The sequence below is a fragment of the Homo sapiens genome, chromosome 10 (genome assembly GCF_000001405.40).
Source record: "Homo sapiens chromosome 10, GRCh38.p14 Primary Assembly".
Classification (NCBI taxonomy): Eukaryota; Metazoa; Chordata; class Mammalia; order Primates; family Hominidae; genus Homo; species Homo sapiens.
Window position 1 is genome coordinate 75,599,742 of NC_000010.11, and position 22,239 is coordinate 75,621,980.

General features: G+C 40.6%; 1 protein-coding gene across 1 annotated transcript in view, besides 1 other annotated feature; it reads left to right on the plus strand.

The window, feature by feature from the left end:
- Positions 1 to 22,239, plus strand: part of LRMDA (leucine rich melanocyte differentiation associated) — a 1,128,545-nt gene that overhangs the window by 168,118 nt on the left and 938,188 nt on the right. The window lies entirely within an intron of this gene.
- Positions 492 to 1,071: an enhancer, noted in NCBI's record as "NANOG hESC enhancer chr10:77359991-77360570 (GRCh37/hg19 assembly coordinates)". NCBI's record gives its function as "activates a minimal SCP1, AML or CMV promoter by ChIP-STARR-seq in naive H9 embryonic stem cells {active_cell/tissue: H9 hESC(naive)}" and the evidence as "EXISTENCE:reporter gene assay evidence [ECO:0000049][PMID:30033119]".

Genomic DNA, 22,239 nt, shown 5'->3' on the forward strand with positions numbered 1-22,239 from the left:
TGTGGGTACTGTGACTGAGGAACCGAATTTTAAATTTTATTTGCTTTTAATTAACATTGAAATAGCCACATGTGGCTACCATAATGGGGAGAGCAGGACCCTAGAGAGTGGTTTCTCCATAAGATTCTGAGGCTGGAGTAGGATGTAGAAATGAGTGGTGACAAGAGTCAGGACTTGCACTGCAAGCCCTTCCTGGTGTAAAATAATCCATAGCTTTCTCTAGTTACTTCTTACTTTGTTATACCCTGACCTTACCCAGGGCAGTAAGCAAGAATAAGTATAACCCATTTTACAGATGGGAAAACCAAGGCCTAGGAAGATCAAATTACTTTACTTAAGGTCACAGAGTAAGTCAGGCACTAGGTCTGCCAGTGTCTTTTCTTAAGATGCTGTCTCCTTTTCCAAGGGCTCTGATGGATGACACCTTTTTCCCCCCAAGTAAGTCTGTGCTACCCATCTGCTTGGCCTCAGGCTCCTGCATCTTCTTTCCACAGCATTCTTTGTCTTAACATCCAACACCTTGCGTGTGAAGGGCATGCCCAAATCTGAAACAGCTTAGAGGATGCTCCCCATTTCGCTTGCCTTGGCTGTACTTTCTGGAAGGTGGTCAGTCCATTGGCCCTGTCCCCTAGGGAGCCCTCCCTTAAACCTGGCAGCCCTGCACTTCTGAATTGTGCTTTTGACCTGTGGATCAGATACATCATCCTCCTCTTGCCACTGATCCTGTAGCTAAATTACCCTATATAAACAAGCCTTTGTTATTCCTGACTGTGAGAGATGTGGTGCTGGCTCTTGTTGAAGAGGAAAATAGACCTGGGAAGAAAGAGGTCATGAGCAGGTCAAAGTGCCAGAAGAAAAGGCTTCTGGGGCTAAAGTTCCCAGATTTGGGGTTTGTGGGGCAGGGGTAGTGTGGGGTATACTGCATGAAGACCATCCACAGGGACGTGTATGCCATGCCATGCATGTGACCACCTATTTGTATTAAGTGGAATCCACCCATGAGATTTATCAAATAAAAAATCTAAAAGAAAGCCTGGGCTAAGTTCTGCCTGGACCTTTTGAAGAAATGTTGAAATGTTGCTGGGCTATGATCTACTAATCCTTCAAGTGTGCTGAACATGAGAAATAGCATTCACTGTTAAACCACCAAGTGCAGAGAAAATGTCTTGAAATTATAGTGTTTGGTAAATTAGAGATTGCTTGTATTTCTCCTCTTCCAGAGCTGAGCCAAGGCTGCTTTCCCTCTTTCCTTGTTTACCTTGAAAACGCACTTTGCTGCCTGGGGTGTTTCTGTTAACCTCCCTGAACCCTTGCGATTTCATTCATGTGATTTGTTATTGAATGACCTTTTGAGGATTTTACAAAACATGACCTTTTCTTGTCAAACATTCAAGGGTTTGTAAAGTGAAGCTGTCACGGGGACTCTGCGTGTTTGCTAATTATAACTAATATGTTTCCCCACATCCTTGGAAATGCAAATCACTTATTTGTCCCATGGATGGCTGCTCTTTCTTGCCTGTTGGTCTGAGATGCCTCCGAGCTGCTCAAAGGGACTTCTTTGGCCTGGGAATTCTGACTCTTCTTCTTAAAGTGAGGAAACAGGGACACTGATTTTGTTGTAAGTTAATTTGACCCCTTGGGAACAACCATGGAAGATGCAAGGAGAGAATGAAAGGGTTCAGAACAATCCAATTCTTGAGATACCAATGGGAATAATGGATACTCTCACAGTGTTCTGTGTGGTTCTAGTACCTGCCTTCCCCAGGGAAAAGAGTTTTTGTTTTGTTTTGTTTTGTTTTTTCTGGGTGGAAACAAAGGTGCAAATAAGGGAATTTTTATATACAAAAATAGAATTATAGGCAGAATCAAGGAAAGAAACATTAGGGACTTGCTTTCCATTGGTAATTTGGTATTAAATTTTGGTAATAAAAAATTTAATAATAACAATAGCTTATCTAACATCTATTGAGTACTTATCATGTGCTATACATTGTGTTCAATGCTTTACGTGTATTATCCCAATTATCTCAACTACCCTATGAGCTAGGTGGTATTATTATCATTACCAGTAACTTGCACAGGATCAGTTGGCAAAGGTAGTATTTGACATAGGGTTTTTCTGACTTGACCTTGCTATATCATCTTCTCTGTACATGTATGAATTTTGACTTATGTAGTGAAAGTGATGTATACTACTTCAAAAGCTTATTTTCTTAATGAGAAAAATACTCTGTGCGATATCTTTTCTCCTCCAGAATACTATCTTCTGTGATTGATAATCACTCGATTGAGTTATTGTCAGCTTCCCTAAATCCTGCTTTTGGGAATTCAGTGCTGGGTCAAATCATGTGCCTCATGTTTGCTGCTAATGGAAGAAGAGTTGAGTAGGGCTCCTGAGACATTTATAAAAATGCAGCCAGTGAGTTTCTTATTAGGAGGAAAAAATAACCCCCCCCAAATATTCCAAATGATGCACCGTTACTGTCACTAATGATTTGGAGTTAAGGGAGGAGGGATTTTGATCTAGAATGACTAAGAAATGGCTCCCTGTCTCTAAGTTACTTGTTAAAAGGGAAGGGATGGGATAGCATATGGACTGAATAAACTTCAAATTTTCTGAGCTTGGAGAAATTCCATTTCAATTGTGTGTAAATTGCTTGAAGATATTGTTTTATTTTGGTTCCTCTCCACTCAAGGTAGGGCTGTGTCTTAGAGAGGTCGGCCAGCCATAAAGGAGCTCAATGTTGGATTCTCTCCCCAAGGTCTAATACGGAGTCTCCTTTATAACATTCAAATGCTTGGCCCTGCTCCACTGTTGATCCCCCTAGTCATTTGGAAAACTCTATTTATCTAGGTAGGGGGATTACTGGGCTTTTCCAGCTTCCAAGCATAACTCCTAGGAGATGTTGTCTTTCAGATGACTTTCATGTGTTTTCCTTCCTCATTCATTTGATAGACATAGATGCACAAAGTAATTTGTGTCTTTGAAACAATGGAAATTTTTGAAGTGTTGGCTCATATTGTTTGGAAAGGGTCATTACAACTTTATATATTAAAAAAAGTTCAGATTCAGGATAGAAAAATATATTTCACTTCTTTTATGAGTCTGTTCTCAAAAGCCAAGCAATTTGTTGTGAAAGAACGTAAGAAATACTGAGAATGAGAAAAGTTATTCATTCTATAAAGCCCTGTCCCTCCTCATACTTCTTTTTCCCACTACAGGCTTTGATTGCTTCATAAATGACCCTCAATGTGAGAGAACCTGTCCGCCCTGCTATTTCAAATGTATTGAAGATGTTTATGATGGATAGTTAGGTTTCAACTATACAGTAACCCAGCTTTCTACTAAAGAGGGCCCTTATATCTTAATGCTTAATAGCAATGGCTTATATATTTCAGGATCTTACCATTCTGGATATAGTCAGCCTCATCTTAAAGTTTTTTTTTTTTTTTAAGTCAGTATTTTATAAAGTGGATTTCGGGTGAAGAAGGAAGATCATGAAAATCTCATCTTTGGAGCTTCTCTTTTAAACTGAGTCAAGTTTAGGGTCTGTTTCATTATTAAGAAGGTACTTTTTAAAATAGTTCTGTCAACTACAGTTATTGGCAGTACCCAGGGCCACGAGACACTTTGCCAGTAATTACTATCCAGGACTTGCAGCTTTCTAGTAGAAGTCTGAGTGTTTTTTAAAATCTTGAAAAATATTATTTAACTAATTCTAATATCATATAAAGCACTTTTAGGAGAATGGAAGTGTAAAATGGAACACTGTAAAATTCATAAGAAGCATAAGAAAGAGAGGGAATAATTGTATTAGGTTAGTGATTCCCAATATTTTAAGGAGAAAGATGTGAGAATCTGATGAAAACTGGCCATTAGTCTCAGAAAAATACACATTAACATAACATTTTCCATTTAATTTGAGATTCATGGATTCCCCTCAACACCATTCTTGGGGCTCTAGATAAAGCACCTTAGATTAAGAATTCTTCCCATGGCAATGAAGAATCATGCCTGGTCAAGGAGGCAATTCAGACATTGATAGGTTGTTCAAGCTTTTAAAGAATTGAGGCATAATTTTGTTTTTTTGATCATAAAATTATTGTTCCCTATGCATAAATACTGTGTCACCAGTACTGCGTTGATGAGGACAGCCAAGGATCTTGATACCTATCAGCTGAGCTCTTAGAAATCTAGCCATGAACTGTTAGCTTTCTAAGCAGTGTGGGATGATAGGAGAAAAACAATGAATTTAGTTCTGGGAGACTTGGGTTCTAGCCTTTCCCCATACATTGTAATGATGAGCAAGTCATTTGACCTCTCCAGTCCCCAATTTTATATCAGTTGGATTGTGACCCCCCAATGTGCCTTTAATCTTAAAATTCAATCAGTTAACCATTCTTTTTTTTTGTTTGCAATTTGGATTTTATAAGATCAAGCCCATTTCCAAGAAGAAGGAGGTCAAGACAAATTTTGTTTCTTAGAAAAGGTTCATATTTAATTTGGGGATTTCAGAGAGTCAAGAAGAAATAATACAGATTATCTGTTACAGTAGAAATGCTGAGTTTCCTTGGGGTGAAATATAGTGAAAGATATGAAATTCTAGGAGTATTAGTGTGGGGCCAGAATGCTTTTCAGACCCACTGGGACACAAAAATTCAATTTATTTGTCATTGCTCATGTTTATCATTATTACCTCTGCCGTCTTCCAGTTATTCCTTACTACTGCCTTCTTAGATAGAGCTAAGAGTTCCCGGCAACTGTTCTGAAGTTTATCCTTGAATGAGTCCTGGGGAACTGAAATGAGCTATGTTGCTTACACAAGTTTATGGTATTGAGTATGTAAAAACTGATTATATGAATTGGAGTTATCTTGTCAAACCCAACTAAATTAGAGTTGAGAGACTGGAGGAGAAAAAGGACTCAGGACACAAATGCCTGCCCAGGGGTGATACTGTAAGCCAACTGCCAAAATACTATGATTTTAAGAACAGTTTAACCTAGTAGCTGCTGAAATGAACTGCTGTGACTCTCAGACTGGTGTTACCTGCTGCCCCACCACTTACCAATCAGAGCTTGCCCACTTCAAAAAACTTCACTAGTGCCAATGAGTTTTCTTTCAAAAGAATACATAACATTTCTTTTTTAATAGAGCCCCAACCTTCCTTCTCTTTGTTCTTGTGACATACTGAAGACCACCGCAGTCTGTGTATGCCCCAAATTGCAATTCAGTTTTCCCAAACAAAATGTTTTGTTTAGAGATTTGTCTCTATATTTTTTATTTGACTTTGACAAGTAGAAAAGGAGAAATTCATTGGGACAACTTGCTTAGTTTCAACCTGGGTTCCTGGATTCTAAAAGAGTAACAAAGATAAACTGGGAATGCCACACAGTTCATATGACTAAATACTGTGCAGTGGAAAAGTCTCAAGACTGGGAATATAGAGACTTGAATTCTAAATCAATTTCTCCAAGTTTGATTATGAGTGGCTTCTTTATGAGAGTCCTTTCTTCCTGAATGTCTCCCTGACGCTGGTTGGATTTTTGATAGCTCAGATGATAGGAGCTGTTTGAATATAGAAGACAGTCTGTTCCACACTGTAGTTTACACCAGTCTTCAGTCAAGAGTCAGCCTGTTCTCCATCTGGATATGTTCCAAAATTTCCCGTGTTTGCCCCAAGCAGAGAATCGCACCTAGAAAGTTTGTACATTGTGGGATACTTAACTAAAACATTTTCTTCCCCAGCAGTCGAAGGACAAGAAAAAGAGAAGTTAAACATATTGAAAGGCCACTGATGGAACACTTTGATCTGATTGGAGAGTGACAGCAGGACCCTTGTCCTAACGCATCCTTTCTGGGCACATTCTAACCCCTCCTGCCGCTGCTCTAATGTTAAGAGTGATTGGAATGAAAATAATTATCAGTATTTCAAACATGAAGAAACTGAGTTGCAGAAATTAACTTATCTAAGGTCATGGTGAAGCTGGGACAGAAATCTACATTTCTTTGGCTTGAATGGCCAAGTTCTTTGTGTGAGCAGTTGAAGGAGAAAGAGTGATGGCAGCGGCTGGGAACTGAGTACTCTCTTGCCGTCTCACCTCCTCCCAAATAAGCCTTTCTTTCTTTCTTTTTGAGACGGGGTCTTGCTCTGTCACTCAGGCTGGAGTGCAGTGGCGCAATCATGGCTCACTGCAACCTCTGCCTCCTGGACTCAGATGCTCTTCCTACCTTGGGCTCCCAAGTAGCTGTAACTACAGGTGTGCACCACCATGCTCAGCTAATTTTTGTATTTTTTGCAGAGATGGGGTTTCATCATATTGCCCAGGCTGGTCTTGAACTCCTGGGCTCAAGTGATCCACCCGCCTCAGCCTCCCAAAGTGCTAGGATTACAGGCATGAGCCACTGCGCCTGGCCAACCCTGTTTTCTAATGGTAAGATAAGTAAAGTTCACTGCTGGTAACTCCTTCTCTTAAACCCAACCAAACTGAGGCCAGTCTTAACATGTGCTCTTGCATGGGTATGTCTGTGTTAAGTGTGCGAGAAGGTAGAATATTAACTCTCTTACCATGTAGCTGAATTTCTTCTCTGTTGATTCAGAAATGGAAAGAAAATGTCAGAACTCCTGTAATGCCTTTAAAACAAAGGTGCAGTGAAGGTATTGAAACCAGAAATGAAAATAAGTGGGCTATTTTTAGAACCGAGGTTCTATTTTCTCACTGACTCCCAGTTTCTAGTTAAGGGCAGAGTCCATTCCGGGCTACATGGGCTCTATTGGTGCCCTTCCAGAAGCCTGCATTTCCACTGCACCTTTCTATTTCAAATGTTAAAGGACTGGGGACATTTATAGGAGGTGATGGTCTCTTGGCACAGAAGACTATGTCTCCCAGAGCTGCCGCAGTGTTTTTTCATCCCTTTCTTCTCACTTCTTTTCTGTTTACCTTTGGCTTGAGTAAGTCGATTGGCATGTCTCTTTATATTGGGAAAATTCACTGTTTGCCACAAGCAAGAGAGAAGGCAGAAAGCATGGATACAAACAGATCTGAGGGTATTTTTATGTCTGTATCTCTATTTCTGGGGGCAAGGGACAGTGTTGCCATCCATTAAACATTTATTGTATTAGCAACCTCTGGCCATCCCTGCTAATGGAGGGAAAGGATGTTATGATAATCCAAAATAGCACAAAGTTCCCAGTTTTAACAATTTGATTTGGCAGTGCATTACAATAAAATCCCATGAATTCAACCTAATTAGGAAGGAGGCCAGTTTGGATTAGTGAAGCCCAAATGATATTTTATGGAAAATTGATTTTGTAGCTTCCAAATTTATGCAGCCACTTGAATTAGATATCAAAGTCTACAATAGAAATTCCCGGAACAGTTTTAATGACTAGTTAAAAATACTTGGCATTTTATTACAAAATGTTAGAGAAATGGTTACTTCCAAAGTGATCAAGACATTTCAGAACAGTCCTCTTGAGTTTTAACTATCTTCTGAAAGTCTTTCCTATCTTGTATTTATGAACAAGGCCTTTCTTGACATACGATAGGAAAGTAAATGCTTGTTAAAATTTCTTCAAATTTCTAGTCTGTTAGATTCGAATGAATAAAATTGACCTACATGATATTTTCCCCTCAGCAGATTTGTTGTCTTAATTCTGTTATGTTAAAGCTACTACAGATGGGAAGCCATTTCATGTAATACTGTATTTCTTTGGATGTTCTTATATTGAACTATATTTTTCTATTGATACAGGTGATAATTTTGTAGTGCTCTAATTTATAGTGGGCCCTTCCACTTTTAGTTTTTAACACATGATTTTCTCAGGTCCTAACCTTCTTTTCCTCCACATTTAATTATCTGTAAACAAATGCTAAAGCATTACAGATGAGCATCTTTTTCTTTTTAAGGGAGAATCACTGCCTTGTTTTGGTTTTGTAACAACAGCACTGTCTTCATTCCTCATGTGCAAGCAAGTGAGGTGACTTAGTGATTTCCAAATGACTGGCTGCACTGGAACCACCCAAGGAACTTTAAAAAATTGTGATTCCTAGGCCCCACTCCTGGAGATTTTGATTCAGTGGTTTTTTTTTTTTTTTTTTTTTTTTTGGAGCCCAAGATTTTCTATTTTTAACCAGCTCTCTGGTTGCTTCTGTTAGGTATCCAAACATGAAGTGGTTGCCTGGAGTGGTTAAAAATCCATTGTCCATATCCTAGCTATTGTGAATAATGCTGCCATGAGCATGGGAGTGCAGATATCTCTTTGAGATACTGATTTTATTTCCATCAGATATATACCCAGATAACCAAGAGAGGGAAACAACCTAAGTGTCCATTGATGGATGACTGGATCAAAAATTGTAGTGTGTGTATATATATATATATATATACACACACATACACAAAGCAATATTATTCCACCTTAAAAAAAGAAGGGTGTCCTGCCATTTGCAACATGGATGAACCTGGAGAACATGGTGACATAAACCAGACTTAGAAGACTACTGCATGATCTCACTTATATGTGGAATCTAAAATAGTCAACCACATAGAAGCAGAGACTAGAATGGTTGTTACCAGGGGATGGGGGGCCAGGGAAATGGGAAGGTTGTTGGTCAAAGGGTACAAAGTTTCAGTTATGTAGGATGTAATAAGTTCTGGAGACCTAAATGTACAGCATGTGACTATAGTTAATAATATACCACTGTATACTAGGAATTTGCTAAGAGAGTAGATCTTAAGTGTTCCCACCACACACAAAAAATGGTAACTATGTGAAGAGAAGACTACATTAATTAGTTTGACTATAATGTTCAGTTCACTAATGTACATGTATATTAAAGCATCATGTTGTATACCTTAAATATATATAAATTGTATATATTGACAATAACAAAACCCAAGAGCCATACAAGGCCACAAGTTTATTTTGCATCTGCTATACACAGATCCAGAGTTGGTTAGTTTGGGAAGCAGTGGTATATTGTGAGCCTGCAACTGTGAAGTGGGGGGCATAACCCTTTAAGTGAGGATAAGGCTGATGAGTCAGATCATGTTTGCACTTCACACCAGGGTCTAGCTCCTCTCTGTTCACTGTTTCTTCCAAAGAATCCCTTTTTGGTTACTGTCTCTGCCTGGGTCACCTGTCTTGATCAAGGGCCACATTCCAAGCCTTGGTCTCCAGAGAACTTCAACACGACCAACAGTTTGTCTGGTGCAGTGACCCTTCACTATACTCACTCTCGTCACCTGCACGTACTCTCAAAGAGTGTACATCTTCTCATCAGCTCTCCCTAGTTTGTTCACGGGCCACAATGGAGCTTGCACAGCACCTAACTGAACACTAGCTGCCCTTGAGGTCATTAGCATTCAGGGTTGTGCTAGCATGCAGCCAGCACTCTCTAGGTTGGGAGGTGGGGTTAGAATCAAGGAATCAAGCCCAAAGTATTAGAAACAGGAGGCTCCAAAGAAAAACTCCCTGAGGAGGCTTGGTATGAAGCTTTGAGGCCGCTGCTTGGAAATGGGCTTTGTAAAGACACCCACACCCACACTGTTAATTTGTAGGGCTGTTCATGAGTGAAGTGTCAAGTACTGGGGTTCTTGTCAATGGCAATTAATTGGAACTTAAAACTCTAGTTTTTGAAAGTGACGTTTAAGAAATAATCACCAATGAGCTTCATTTGAACAATATCTGTGGCCATACCATTGTCCATTGGCCTTCCTAGTGGTCAATCTCTGCTCTCCAGCACCTACTTCTAGAAGGAGTAAATGTGGCATCTTGGGCGAATTCAGCATCTTTCCCCTTTTAAGAAAATTGATTAAGTTGATGTAAGCATTTCATTTTCTTAAAAAGTTGCAAAATTAGAATAAAATACTTTGCCAGGTGGTAAGCATTGTGGACAGGTGTAGTGCATTGGAAGGAGCCCTAGCCTGGGCGAGCTGAGAAGCCCTGAGTGTGTGCTATGATGAGTCTTGCAATTACAGAGCATGATGTGAGCCTCAGGTGGAACCAGGCTGCGATATGCGTGCTCTGTGTGGTCCTGTTGTGGGAGCAGGCATCCACAGTCACCCTTTTTGCCCAGAAGGTCTTCAGTAGGCAGGGATGTAGTCTCCCTAGTGAGAAGAAGAGGCTGTTAGACTTTATTGGCCCAATAAGGGAAAGAATGCCCAGTCTCCAGGACTTGGCCCAAGTGTGGCACATCCCAAAGATCTCAGACCTACACTAGAAGCTTTTCTAGGTGGAGTGTATAGTATATTCTAGGACTGCAAAATCCTGCTAACTTGGACAAACTGGGTAAATTACAGCTTCCGAACTGGTGAACATACTTAATTTTTTAAAAAAGAAATACAGCTTTATCACTTAAAAAATTGTGATAGGATACATGTAACATAAAATTTGCCATTGTAACCATTTGAAAGTGCCATGATTCAGTGGCATTTAGTACATTCACAAGGTGGTGCAACTGTCACCACTATTTAGTTCCAGCTTTATCACTTTTAAGTATAGAAAATATTTTGAAATAACTGGCAAATTCTTTCTATTGAGAAGTAGTCCTCATTAATACTCATGTAGACACAGACACACACCACACCTCCCACATCCCTCACCACAAACACACACCCCACACACATCATACACCCCCACATACAACATACACACCATTCCTCCTCATACTTCCCTACACCCCACATGTACACACAGCACTCCCTGACACCACATAGACAAACACATACCACACCCCCACATACACACACACACCACACATACACTCATGTATGTAAATATACAAAGTACAGTATATTAATTTTATAGTCTCATCGTGGCCAGAAGGACCTTAGAGAGTCTCTGTCCAACTCCATGGATGAGGGAACTGTGATCATGGCCAGAGACTTTATGGGACTGGCCCATGTTCGGGTGGCAGAGGCAGGCCCAGGTTCCCCAGTCCTGACACAATGTATTTTCTTTAATGTCTTTATAATAGGCAATACATGTTCCCTAAAATGTATTGTTGAACTGAAACCTTTAAGAATCATTTATTCTCTTTGTATGAATGTTTTTCCCTCAAGTCTTGTTTACATTGTGAGCTTTCATAGCAAACCCTTTCTTTGGCCCAACGTAGGCTAAATTTTACCGCAAATTCCAAATGATGGGAGTCGTAAATTTTTCTTTTTCCTGAGTTGGCCTTGTTCTGGTGGAAACTTAATGTGTGTGGAGTAATGAACTATTCTGCTGAGGGGAGGTGGACTTGGGTGACAGCATGCCTCTACTCTTACAGGGTTTGGGGTGGTATGAGGTTGGGGACAGGGAAGGCTGCTGCAGAGGCTGGAGCTGGTGGGGCACTCAGACAGGGGGAGCACAGGGTGAGAGGGGCAAGGACCCCTAGAGAGAAGCCCTGCCTCTTTGGTGTCCTTTGGAGGCAGAAGGTAGGCATTAGGAGTGATGATCTGGACAGGTCCTGTGTAGCTGGGCGTTTGTGGAGGCAAGTGCAGCCCTGATCTACTCTCAGTTGTTGGACAATGGCATGGGCTTGTAAAGTCGATCTGTGAGCAGGACCTTGATCGGAGTCCACAGTGGGTGTGTAGCTGCCAGTGCTTGACTCTGGTTTCATTTCCTTTTTATTGTAATAAAATTTACCATTCAAACTATTTTTAAGTGTACAGCTCTGTGGCATTACCCGCATTCACATTGCTGTGTAACCGTTACAACCATCCATCTCCAGAACTGTTTTCATCTTCTCAAGCCAAAACTCCATACCCATTAAATAGCCACTTGCTATTTCCCCACTCCCCTCCTCCCCTCAGCCCCAGGCAGCCTCCATTCCACTTCCTGTCTCTGTGAGTTTGACTACTCTAAGTTATCTCATATGAATGGATGCATACAGGACTTTTGTCCTTTTGTGACTGGCTTACTTCTGTTTTCTTAACATGACTTTATCAGCAGCTAGCCCATACAGTGCTTCTGGGAGAAGTAGAGAAATGTGCTCCCCTTCTCTGGGTGGATGTAACCCCTGGCCAGAAATTGAGCTTGGCAAGCACAGTATAGGTTGGATTTCAGTCTCCACCTGTCCTTTTGGCCAAATGCCGTCAGCTAGTGCACAACCTGAACAACTGTTCGACTTGGTCCTGTGTATCAGGCCTGCAAAAGGAGATTTCCTCTTGCCCTGGAGCCCCTGGCTGGGTGTCCTCCCTGTTGATACTTTTTTGGTCCCCTTCTCCTATTCCCCAGTTCCCTCTGCTGCCTTAAGGTTCAGTTTTGTTGATTTGCCCCAGACTGGGACCTCCAGAGAATAAAAGGCCAACAGAAAAGGTGAATGGGGTTTCTAGAACAATATAACTCATTCAAATGCCATTTAGTGTGGGCTAGGTACGAATGACTTATGTGGATTAGATTTCCTTTGGAAATACCCAGGGGGTTAAAAATTAAGAGGAGAAGTGTGTAGAAAAATAAGTGCGAGGTTTTACTTATGCAGTGCCTTTGAAGACTAGTTGAAATATTTAGCAAACTGAAAATGCAGCTGGTTGAATGTGCTCTGAACCGTGCTGGGCCCTTTAGCCTACCTCTTTTAATAAACTAGTGGCTGAATTGAAAGCAATCTAGGCAATAATGAATATTCTTATAAATCTCTCTGGTTGAGAAACTCTAAAAATATAGCCAGATCCCAAGCAGTACCTATTTCCTCTTAATTCTACTATAATACTTGAATGATCTTTTATAAGACATTAAACTTTAATTGATGCCATTTTACTAAGCAGATTTTAAAAGCAGCAATGTCAGTAATTGAACTGATCAAGATGACTTTTGTTTATTATGTATGATGTGGAAAGAGGCTTTTATAAAATGTTATTTTTGTTCTGATTTCCAAAGAGTTTGCTTATTTATTTACTTATTTTATTTATATATTTATATATTTGTATATATAAATATATAAAAATATATTTTTGAGTAGTGGATTTAGAGAGGCAATAGTGTGGATAAGAACTGATAAGCACAGATTTTCATGCCCTCTCACTGTGAAAGTATTAGAGAAAATATTGATGCAGAACAAGGAAAAAACTGTGTAAAATAAAGTGTAAAATGAAAAAAAAAACCTGGGTAAAATAATCTAGTGGAGACATTTTTCAAAGTATTAACTTTGGTGGGGAAAAAAAAATGGAAGGTTGAGATTTTGCTCATGTCAAAAGACTTGGCCCAGCCTTTCAACTTTGCTATTGCTTTCGTTGGTTTGCTGTGCTAAGAGCATTACTCAAACGTATGCTATTGTGGTTGAACTTCTTCTTTATCCTTCCTTCTTTTGACGTTCCTGGGCAAGGCTGTCTTCACTCAGGACAGGCATGTTACACAGTGGGGAAAACTGTAGACTTGAAAACCTTGCCAATTTTTTTTTTTTTGTAGCAGTTAACTGTGGCTCAGGATTAAACAGTAAGAGCACTATCTGGCTTTCTTCCTCTTTTCTTCCACAATCCCCCCCACTTCCTCCTGAGTTTGGTCATTAGTTTTGCTGCCTTTGGAGTTTTAAAAAGTTGGATTGTTTCTCTGTTATAAAAATAACACATACATCAGACTTGCAGATAGCTACTAGCCAAGAAAAGAGGCATTTTAGGGGCAGTGAGGGATAGGGGTGGAGACCAGGCAATGAGTGGTGTCCTAAGAAACGGAGAGGATGGAGGGGAACATTGTTGTGTGGACTGGTACACTTAAAATATTTATGGATCAGACAGTATCTCTAAATCTCTGTCCTCCTTATCTGCACATCACTCTCGCTTTTTTCATCCCTACCCCTGGGGCAGCTGTCTCATTTTCTAGGTAAAGAAAACCAAGAGGATTCTGCAGCACCTTTAGGTGTGATTGCTAATGGTATGGTGTTTGCAGAGTTCTCCAGGTTTCATCTTGTTTTTTCACAAAAACAAGATTTCTTATGCAAAATGGGTCACCAAACAATTTCTCCAGAGCAACAGCCAGTGTTTCGTGCAGGGGAGATGTTAGCAAACCACTGACATATGGATGTGATCTCTGTTACTTTGACCAGATTCGGTTTCTACAGAGTACGTGAGAAGGGAAGATAAATTTTGTCCTAGTAATACTATAGCGACTCATAAATAAATGGTTACCCTTTGGTGCTTGCAGTTTTCATTAAAGCCGCCTGAGCTTTGTTATTGACACCATAGGTTGCCTATTCAGGGAAATGCAGTAAAATTTATCAGTATGCTTTCTGCACCTAATAAATCATCCAAACAGGGAACCATATGGCAGATAAGACCTTGAAAATGTGGCTTCAGCATGTGAGGAGTCAAGTTGCTGAAATCTTGAATGATTACAGCCTGCACATTTTCTCCTGGAATATCTTATAGTTATTTTACATGCCATTTTCTTGTTCACCCTATCACCCCTTTGTCTCTCTCCCTCTCTCGTTCTTTCTCACTCTTCCCTCTCTTACTTTCCTCTAGCACCATCCTTTTCTGGCCATTCTTTCTCACTCTTTGTTTTTCTTTTGGGTGGAGGTCTGGCTGTGATTTCAGCTTTAAAATAAGCATCCAGAGCAGATAAGACGTTTTTATAATGCCTTGCTGGTAGGAGGAAGAGGGGCAGGGAGGAGCAGAGACTGACGGGAAGGGATGATGTATGTGGCGGCTGTGTCCCCACTCTCCTCCAGCCCATTGTCATTAATCACGGCCATTAGTTTTTTTCAGAGCTGCCTTGTCTGCACAGTGCCTCAGAAAAGCCATTGTTTTTTCATGCCACAGACTAGGGAAGAAAAGGGAAGAAAGAAACCCCAGTACTCTTTTTCTCCCCTCTCATTCTGCCTCCAGAATCTCCCTGCTCTCCTGCTATCTCTCTGCTCCTCTATCCCAGCCCAACTTCCTTTCCTCTTCCTAGAAGGGATGGTGGAGAGGAGAGGGGGCACTTCAGTCCCTGTGTTTATATATTTATCTGACAACACAACATGGGCACACAGTTGTGATGCATGCACTGAATAATAGCTGTGTTACTCATGATGCACTGTTTAATATACAAGGAGGTTTTGTGGATATCAGTGGTGTTTGTTTTTTTTTTTTCCTTCTCTTTTGGAATCCTGGACTGGATATCCTTGTTATAACCTGAGGACACCAGCAAGATAGGAGGCATGTGCCCATTGTGGAACATCTGTGTTCAGTGGCTGGAAAAGAGGAGGCTGGCTTCTCCCTGGGGAGATGGAGTTAGGTGCTCACCAAGCCTAGACCATGTCTTGGGGACTCCCTCACTGCTAAGTGGGGCATTTCAAGAACAGCCATGGCTTATGATCAGTTGACTCTGCCCAGTCAACTTGGGTGACTCTTGGTGTTTAACGAAGGATGTGGCCATTGTCCTTTCTCTCATCTCTGCTAATTAAAGACTTGGGCTTGAGGAAAGAGACCTTGAAGACTGCAGTGGTTTTCTAGCTCTCAATGACAAATCATAACTGAGTCATTATGTGTGATATCTGACTGCTCAAGATACTAATGTCTTTAAAAATACCCATAGTGTTTTGTAAAATGTGACAGCCAACATCAAAACAAGACCACATACAGGTTGAGTAGCCCTTATCCAAAGTGCTTGGGACCAGAAGTGTTTTTGATTTTTAATTTATTTTTGATTTTGGAATGTTTGCATTATACTTACCAGTTGAGCATCCCTAATGTGAAAATCCGAAATCCAAAATGCTCCAATAAACATTTCTTTTGAGCATCAAATTGGTGCTCAAAAATTTTTGGATTTTAGGGTATTTCAGATTTGGGTTTTTCAGATTAGGAATACTCAACCTGATGAAAAGTCTGTATGACAGCTGCATTTAAAAGGAAAAAATCCTTAATTACTCCCAGATATGAGCACAATTATTTGAACTAGAATCCCTAAATATTGTTGAGTAGAGTACTTATTCTAATGGAAATATGGCTGTGATATGCTATTAATACATCCATTGAATAGTCATGGTATTGGAAAAAACATTAATGAGCAAGGAACCAGGAGAGCAGAGTTAATGGTCCTTTGACTTCAAGGCTGTGTAACCTTAGTCAAATTACTTTATGTCTCTGAACTCCATTTCCTTCTGTCAGATGAGATGGTTGGCTTTGGATCAGTGTTTCCCAAAGTGCCGGATAATGGGTGTCACAGGAAATGATTTTAGGCAGTATACTGAATGGACTTTTAAAATTTGTGTTTGTTAAATAATGTTGGCTATCGATTTATGACTGTGACTTTCATATTTTAATTTCTGAATTAATAGGTATATTAGTCTGTTCTCATGATGCTAATAAAGAAATACCAGAGACTGTTTCTTTAATTTATAAAGGAAAAGAGGCTTAATGGACTCAGAGTTCCACATGGGTGGGGAGGGCTCACAGTCATGGCGGAAGGCAAAGGGGATATAAGACACGTCTTACATGGCAGCAGGCAAGGCAGGCTGTGCAGGGGAACTCCCATTTACAAAATCATCAGATTTTATGAGACTTATTCACTACCATGAGAACAGTAATAGTAGCAGTAGCAGCAGTAGCAGCAGCAGCAGCAGCAGCAGCAGCAGCAGCAGTAGTAGTAGTAGTGGTGGTGGTGGTGTTTATTTGATTCAATTATCTCCACCTGGCTCCGCCCTTGACATATGGGGATTATTGCAATTCAAGGTGAGAGTTGGGTGGGGACATAGCCAAACCATATCAACAGGAAAAGTAAATCAATTAAAGGAAAAAATATTAAGTACATAATAGTACAGCTGCTATAGAGATATGGCAAAAATTGTGATGTGGTACCCAGATGACCAAAAATTGTTAATCTCCACCCCAGATAATTGGAGTCTATGAGTTAAATGGTATGCCTGGTATGTACATAGAGCTTCTCTTAGAACTTTAAACATGTTTTGTATTATCTTCTTTACTATGTTTGACTATTTTCTGATAATACAGCAAAGCTAATTTCAGTGTAGGTTGTGTCTGAGTTATCTCAAAATTTGGTTTTATGCAATCTTTATGAAGACAGTTGTATATATGTGAATCAGTAGCTTTGTAGCATGACATTGGTGAAATCTGAACACCTGACCCATAGTGCTAAGACTCCATAGAGCACTTCTTGTATGGTTTGATTTGAAGGGATTTAGAAAGGCTAGAATATATCACCAGATTCTCTCTGCCAGGGTGTCTGAAATTCCTGTTTTCCTCTTTGCAGTTTCAGTGGTTTCAAATAGAAAATGTATTTACTAGTAAGTGGAAGTAGACTATCATAAAGACAAAACCTTAAAGTCACTGGCTAGGGATGACCTAAGTTGGCCTCAGTGCTTGGGAACCACTGGATTAAGGTCCAGATGGTTTCTATGAAAGTGTGCATTTGGGAAAAAGGCACTCTGTAGCTTTAGCAGCTATTGTGGCCTTGGCTGGAGCTACTTTATCAGATAAACTGTAGTCACCTCCAAGGCGTATGTGCATTTAGATATGAGGCATTCAGGTAAGATCCAGATCTTGGACAGTTCTGGATGGGACAGTGCAATGGGAATGAGAAGCCCAGGGAGGCCCAAGTGGCAGCATAAGGGCACATAGGGACGGCTGCCAAGGTTTCCCATTTACAACCTCTAAGTGGAAGGAGTGTGCTCTTATCATTTAGCAAATGGCTGGTTGGGAGTACATGGTGGCAGCTTGTGTCTCACTCTTATTGGGAGAATTTGGCCAACTCAGAATGTTTGAGTGTCCCCTTCTATGTTAAGTCGTTTTGTAAATCTGCACTCTGATGAAGTAATTTGTATTCTCAGTGCACTGCTTTTATTATGCTGCTCTCCTTCTCATGAAACATTCAGTGGCTCCCACCGACTAGTAGAACCAAGTAATCTTTTTAGTTTGGCACTCACTGCTCCCCTCTGTCTTTTCTTTCTGGACTTCTCTCTTGCTACTTCTCTGTCTACACACTCTGCTCCAGCCAAACCATTGCATCACCTCACAGTCACAACTTGTTCTTGCTCATTTTTCAGGACTGCTCCATCTCCCTGGATTGCCCCATGGGTTCCTTTCTCCCTCAGTCTTTTGCAGTTCTTGAGGTCAAGCACCATTTCTGTTTCCTCCATAAAGCCTCACACCACAATCTATCCATGTCTGAGCCTCTGCTCCTTTGGAAGAGAAGTCACTAGGGTGGAGTAAGCAGTAGGAGACCTGGCGCTACAGAAGACTGACCTTGGGCAAATCAACCTCGCTAGGCCTTTGTCGCCTTGGCTAGAAGATGAGAACTTTGAGAATAAACATCTTTCCTCTCTCCTAGGAAGACAGGATGAAGTGATGAATGTAGAGAAGCTTTGTGAATATCAACACACTGTACTCATCTAAGGGATATTCTTTGGGAATTAATCATAGACTGACTTGAAACTGCTCTTGTATTGCTGTCTTATGATGCAGTTCACCTGCTGTATTGTTGTTTAACATTTTTCTGCATCTGTCCTGACTCTAAGTTGGCATTTTCTTCTCTTTGTAAGTAATTACAGACTTATGAAGATGCTATTCATTACAAAATAACACTGTAAAAGTGATGGAAAAATTTACTTCCAACATCCATTCTCTTTAGTTCTTTCTTTTCTTACTTTTTTCCTCATAGTAAGCACCTATCCTTATGTAGTTGTCTTTACCAGACTCTCTCTCTCTCTCTCTCTCTCTCTCTATATATATATATATATATATATATCAGACTATATATATATCAACTATATATGTATACCAACTATATATATAAACTATATATATATCAACCATATATATATTAACTATATATATATCAACCATATATATTATATATATATATATATATTTGACTCTTGAACAATGTGGGGGTCAGGGGCACTGACTCCCCTGTGTAGTCACATCTAATAAAATTAACATAAACTTTGACTCAAAACCTAACTACTAATAGCCTAATTTTGACCAGAAGCCTTACCAATAACATAAACAGTAGATTAACATATATTTTGTATATATATTATATACTGTGTTCTTATAAATAGTAAGCTAGAAAAAAGAAATTAAGGAAATCATAAGGAAGAGAAAATTATTTACTCTTTTTTTTTTTTTTTTGAGATGGAATTTCACTCTTGTTGCCCTGGCTGGAGTGCAATGGCATGATCTTGGCTTACTGCAACCTTTGCCTTTGCCTCCCAGGTTCAAGCAATTCTCCTGCCTCAGCCTCCCAAGTAGCTGGGACTACAGGTGCGTGCCACCACTCCTGGCTAATTTTTTATTTTTTATTTTTTTGTATTTTTAGTAGAGACGGGGTTTCACCGTGTTAGCCAGGTTGGTCTTGATCTCCTGACCTCGTGATCTGCCCACCTCGGCCTCCCAAAGTGCTGGGATTACAGGTGTAAGCCACTGCACCCGGCCGAAAATATATTTACTCTTAAGTGGAAGTAGACTGTCATGAAGGTCTTTATCCTTGTCATCTTCACATTGAGTAGGCTGAGGAGAAGGAGGAGGAAGAGGAGGTCTTGGTGTTTCAGGGGTGGCAGAGGTGGAAGAAAATCCATGTACAAGTGGACCCATGAAGTTGAAACCCATGTTGTTCAAGGGTCAACTGTATGTATGTCTATACCCCCTATCCTGTTGTCCTGTTTAGAGTACTGTTCCTTTGTGTATCTGCTGGATACTCTCAAGGGGAAGCTACCTGCAGATCTTAGGGAAATTTCCCTCCCAGAGTTTGTCATTCATAGCCCGTGAGTAGGTTTGCAGTACACACTGCTGATTTTAATCAGTGTCAGCAGTTGTAGTTCATTGCTATGTTAGAGGATACATGCTCTAGGGTGAAGGGCAAACACACAAAGCCCCAAAGGTTCTATTTTTGGGCTGAGACTGAGAGAAAAATACCCATGGTGTAGTGTTCATCTCCCAACCTGTATTTCTAGCTCATTTTCTCTGAACGTTTCTTCAGCATCGCAGTCTCTCTCTTCTGAAGATGATCCCATCCTACACACTGGCTCACTGTGAGACAGCAACTCTCCTTGAAGTACAAGCTGTGGGGAGGCAGCGTTTACTTCAGGGTTTGGTAGATCTGGGTTTACAGTTGGCCTCTGCAAACTGTACTCTGGTCATAGCCAGACTGCACTCTGGTCATAGCCGTGTGACCCTTGTGTGCAAATTGCTTAATTTCAGTCTTAGTGTCCTCATCTGTAAATGTAGCAGTGTATGTTCAAGGGCCTAGCACAGTGCATTCAGTCATTTTATGATGCTCAATTTCTTATCTTTCTTTAGTCATGCTTGGTCCTAAAAGCATTAGCCCAGCTTTCCTACCATGTTGTGTCATCCACACTCATCTTGGGTGCAGAGTCTGCTACCAAGGCAGCCAGCAAGAGTCCTGGGCAAGCACACTGCGAACAGGCCCTCCAAAATGCACAGCCTGAGAGTGCACACTGCCTGCTCCCTGGAAGGACAGTTGGAACATTCACAGACCAGGCCTGGTCATGTTTTCATCAGGGAGGCCAGTCCCTTTTTAGCTTACTTTAATCTTGATTAACAGTATCAGAAAAGCAAAATATTGAAAGAGATGTACCTGTTATGGAATAAAAGTTGTACAATTCAGGCATGTATGCAAAAACTGAACACACTTTCATTTAAAATTTGTGATGTAGACAGAACATTTCATTAAAAAATATCAGCCTTGATAACCTAGGTGTATGTAGATAGGTCTCAGGTTTAGGAGCTGGCTGATTGTTATTGGTTCTGCTGTGGGTTTTGGCTGGGGGTTGGGCTTCTACAGCAGTCATTTTAGGTTAGTATTATTTCATGTGCCCTAATGCATGATCCTGGTTGTGCAGAAGTGGTTCTTGGAGGTTGATGCCTTGTGATCTCACTCCTCTGGTCTTTGGTATATACAGTCTTGCTCACTTTGAATGGACTTCCCTTTCCTTTTAAGCAATGTGACTTGTCACACTCCATCACTCCAATTTTGACTTGCTTTTCAAGACCTGGTTCAAATCCATCTTCTTTGTAAATTCTTCCCTAAGTGCCCCATCTTAGTGACTGTGAGTTACTCCTGTAATAATGGCAGGGTGGGTATTACATTTGGCAATTAATTCTTATGACTTTGTGGTCTCTATTCTATTGCCATTTTGTTTTTGCTTTTTTAATTTTTAACTTTTTTATTTCAATAGGTTTTTGGCCAACAGGTGGTGTTTTGTTACATGAATAAGTTCTTTGGTGGTGATTTCTGAGATTTTGGTGCACACATCACCTGAACAGTGTACACTGTGCCCAGTGTGTAGTCTTTTATCCCTCACCGCCTTCACCATTTCCCCCGTGTCCCCAAAGTCTAATGTATCATTCTTATGCCTTTGTGTCCTCGTAGCTTAGCTCCCACATATGAGTGAGAACATACGATGTTTGGTTTTCCATTCCTGAGTTACTTCACTTAGAATAATAGTCTCCAATTCCATCCAGGTTGCTGCAAATACCATTATTTCGTTCCTTTTTATGGCTGAGTAGTATTCCATTACACACACACACACACACACACACACCCACACACCCACACACACACCACATTTTCTTTATCCACTCATTGATTGATGGGCATTTGGGCTGGTTCTGTATTTTTGCAGTTGCAAATTGTGCTGCTTCCTATTGCTATTTTGAACTTCACTTTGGACTTTGTGGTTATCCTTTTCCACACATGTGTGTGCCTGCCTTTGTACTTCTTTCTCCACAAAGTCTCATGCAGTGCTCAGCACAGAGTAGGTAATCAAAAAATATTCTGTTGGTGGATTGGAATGAATGACTTTTTCCTCCCCATTCTCAGTCTCCCAGGAAGCTATTCCTTTTCCATTCCTGGATAAGCTACTGTGCCCAGTGTTGCTTCGTGTGTCCCTTGGCAGTCACTGGGCACATACCAGAGAATTGCCGTCTCCTGGTGGTGGAAACAGGTCTGTGGGGAGCAAGAGGGGGAGGCCTATGAACCACTGGTGTTTATATGTCCTGGGCACAGCAGTTCATCCAGACAATTCTTGGGTTTGTGAGCTCTCTGAGCCACCTTTGAGCGTGGCTTAGACTTTGACTGTATTAGATTGAGGGGACACTGCTCTGAGGTTCTGCTGGGACCCTGATCTGATGTGGTCTCTCCCAGGTTCCATAGAACAAGTCTGGGCTGTCTCTAGTAGAAAGATAAAATGAGGAAGATGAAGGTGTGGGCTATTATTCTTCTGAGCAGATTGAGTGTTACTTGCTGATTTTCGACTCTCTCTGCCTCTCACCACTATAACTGTGAAGGGGTTTTAGC